This window comes from Homo sapiens, chromosome 16 (genome assembly GCF_000001405.40).
Source record: "Homo sapiens chromosome 16, GRCh38.p14 Primary Assembly".
NCBI classification, from domain to species: Eukaryota; Metazoa; Chordata; class Mammalia; order Primates; family Hominidae; genus Homo; species Homo sapiens.
The window spans coordinates 63,651,717-63,655,081 of record NC_000016.10 but is presented as its reverse complement, the minus strand read 5'-3'; the positions used below and the strand labels follow the sequence as shown (position 1 = coordinate 63,655,081).

The 3,365-nt window shown below is 37.3% G+C and overlaps 1 annotated feature.

The window, feature by feature from the left end:
• Positions 2,484-3,112: an enhancer, noted in NCBI's record as "NANOG hESC enhancer chr16:63685874-63686502 (GRCh37/hg19 assembly coordinates)". NCBI's record gives its function as "activates a minimal SCP1, AML or CMV promoter by ChIP-STARR-seq in primed H9 embryonic stem cells {active_cell/tissue: H9 hESC(primed)}" and the evidence as "EXISTENCE:reporter gene assay evidence [ECO:0000049][PMID:30033119]".

Sequence of the window (3,365 nt, the reverse complement as noted above, 5' to 3'; positions counted from 1 at the left end):
CAGAGAGGAATTTCCTTAAAAAAGTGATGCTGGGTGGTATTCAGAACTATGAGTTGAGCTATAGATGATGAATATTGTAGGGAGAAGGGGCAATATAGATAGAAGAATAAAGGCATGGACAACATTATCAGAACTGGTCAAAGCATATTAAAGTCAGCTGTGTAATTGCAAGAATAATTTCAGGGTAAGAGAATATAAACTGCCCCTTTATGGAGAAACTGACATCGAAGTCTGTTATAGCTGCCCTCAATTTTATGGCTACAGATTTGCTGTCAGAATTCAGCTGCCTTTAATGAATCAGGAACCCTTTGTGTGTTATTTCACCCCAGAATTGTTCTAAGGGTCAACCTTACTGACATTATTTACCACATATCCTGGCCAGCTTTGCATCTTTGAATTGCAGGTTAAGATAACCTGAAGCTAGCAAAAGAGCTTCCTTTTAAGGCTACTGTGATGAAGATCCAGACTTTCACAGTTCCATTCTTCACCAACTCCCCTCCTTGAAACACATCTGAAGGAAGATCTGAGAACTAGTAGGAAGCCCTAGTGCCAGAGAGGGCCACAGAGTAAGAGCAGATCACAGCCTATGTGGGAAAGGGCCTCATCAAAGTATTGTTTTATTTATTTATGTATCTGTGTATTTATTTATTTAAGACAGGGATTCATTCTGTCATAGCCCAGGCTGGAGTGCAGTGGCGTGATCTCGACTCACTGCAACCTCTGCCTGCCAGGTTTAAGTGATTCTCCTGCCTCAGTCTCCCCAGTAGCTGGGATTACAGGTACCCACCACTATAACCATCTAATTTTTGTATTATTAGTAGGGACAGGGTTTTGCCATGTTGGCCAGGCTGGTGTCGATCTCCTGACCTCAGGTGATCCGCCTGCCTTAGCCTCCCAGAGTGCTGGGATTACAGGCACCTGGCCAAATGTATTGTTTTAAATGCGGATTTAGTTTTGAGTGACTCCTTCCATCTCCCTTGCTCAGCTTGGACTAATGTTAGGATGCTCTTGAAACAGAAGCATGGAAGGGGGCATCAAAGGGTCTCTTCTGCAGCCTTTGAGACTGTTTCCCACACTACCACATAACCTCAAATAGAAAGTTCTGGAAACACAAACCTTTAAAAAAATCAATCTCCCATATCTCTTCGTCTCCTTGCGCAGTGCCGAGTAAATACTAAAATGTTCACTGAATTGATGGTATTGGCAGCTCATTCACTTTATTCTAATTAAATTTCTCTCTCTAGGTGTAAAATGGCTTTTCATTAAGCACATTTCAGATAAAATTTTTTTAGACAGAGACAATGTAGCCACAAAATGAACTCAAATCCTGTTTGGTTTGATGAGTGCATTTTATTATCTACTGTTTGCTAGCAATTAGATACCAAAAATCTGAAGCTTTGTAAACACAAAGGGGATTATAGTAGGGCGAGCTCATCAACTACATGTGATGCTTTTCAAGGTGCTGCAGATGATCTGTTTGTTTTGCTTTGTTGTAACAGATTCTCTAGAGCATATCTGTTCTCTCAAAGGAACTTGGTACAAATGGCATTTGAGTATTTAAGAAAAGAGCCTCAGGACATATAAACAGACTCTCATTTATCCAGAGAAGGTAACCCACTTTGATAATCTTCCCAAAAGATCTTCATGTCAGTTTAGCTGGCGAATCTTGGAAGCTCATATATGTTTTGTCACAGCTGTGTGTGAAATATTATGTAATTAAATTTTACATTACATCAGTCCCAATACATAATAAAGTGTCATCTGGTTAATTCTGGTTTCCAAATGCGCTTTAAAACCAACTCAGAGTAAATATTACATGTGATTCATGCCACAAATTGTTACGTAGGCACGTACTAGCATATTTATGGTCTTATACTGCATGCCAAATTATGCACTAAATTCAAATATGGACATGCTAATTTCCCTTGTGTTGACAATATGAAATTCTAAGCATTATTCTTTAATCAGAACACAACCAGTTCACTGAAGTCGTAAAGTGGACTTCTCCCACATCTGCTTGCTTTATTCCTTTTTCACAAAGAACTAAGTTCATTAATTCTTCAACATATAAGTAGACAAAGGGAAACTTTTAAAGGTTATATATATGTAACTATATAAACAGATCACAAATATTCACAGTTCCATTAAAGAAAGGGGGTAAAGGAATAATCTGGAACAAATATTACTCATCTAATTATAAATGTCTTTGATAGTGTTCCATGCCAAAATTACTAGAAAACTGATGCAGGTAAACAAATGACTTGGGTAAGAAAAAGTACTGGGATATAGCATGGTATCTTAGAGGTAGTCTCAAACCAGAAGAAATGGGGGTATGAAATTAAAGATATACTTCACAGAAAAATAAAGATGTGCCTTTAATTTTATTCTTTTTACAAAATTTAGAAATGACCTGGAAGAGAAAATGGTTTTATTGTAGTTACATTAAGTTTTAGACATTGGGCTATTTGCTTTATACATTTAAACAAAATTTTATTGTCACTAAACCCACCCTAGTTGGCTTTATTTAAAAATTTTTCTCTTTTTGACACGAGAAAACTGGGATCAAGCCCAATCATTGGTATTATAATATTGGTGTAACTACTGAGTGGATTTCAAGATGGAATACAAGTAACAAGGTCAGTGGGCTGTGTATCAAGTTCTCTAAATTCAGTGTATTTGTTAATCAGCACCAAACTATGAGCTCATTTATGTGTTTAACAAACAAAGAGAATCATTGTCAGCAGTTCCTTTGAACATGATGAACACAATGGTGCTAGGGATAGCGGCCAAAGAGTGGTTTGGGAGAGCTTTAGCTCATCACTGCAATCCCAGCATACTATCAACAGGGTACCACTAGGGTAAATTACAATATGAATGGTCCCTCCCAGATTCACACAATGTATTTTAGTGCCTCTGCCTTTAATTTCATAGGTACTGATCCCCAAATCACCCAAGATAAATAAACAATACAAGTGAAAACAGAAAGCTTGCTATGCAAAATGGAGCCTGCAGGAAAGATCTCGAGAACACATATTGGCAACTCTAAGGTCCCCCCATATAGAAATCTTGGATTTTTCAATTTAATGAGCTACTAATACTGATCGGGACAAAACTTTTTGCCTAGATTTTGAGTAGTATCCCTGGAAATCAATCCATTTATTAAACATGTGAGTGTATTCACATGTAAATGTTAGAAAAGCTGTATGCTTAACATTTGTGCCTCTTGCTACATGTAAGCTGTACACCTACACAGACACCACACATGCACACAAACACACAAACAAATACAACCACAACAGTAGCAATAACAAATTTTTGCCATAAAGGAATAAATAATTTGGTTCACTTATATAAGTTTAGAAGTT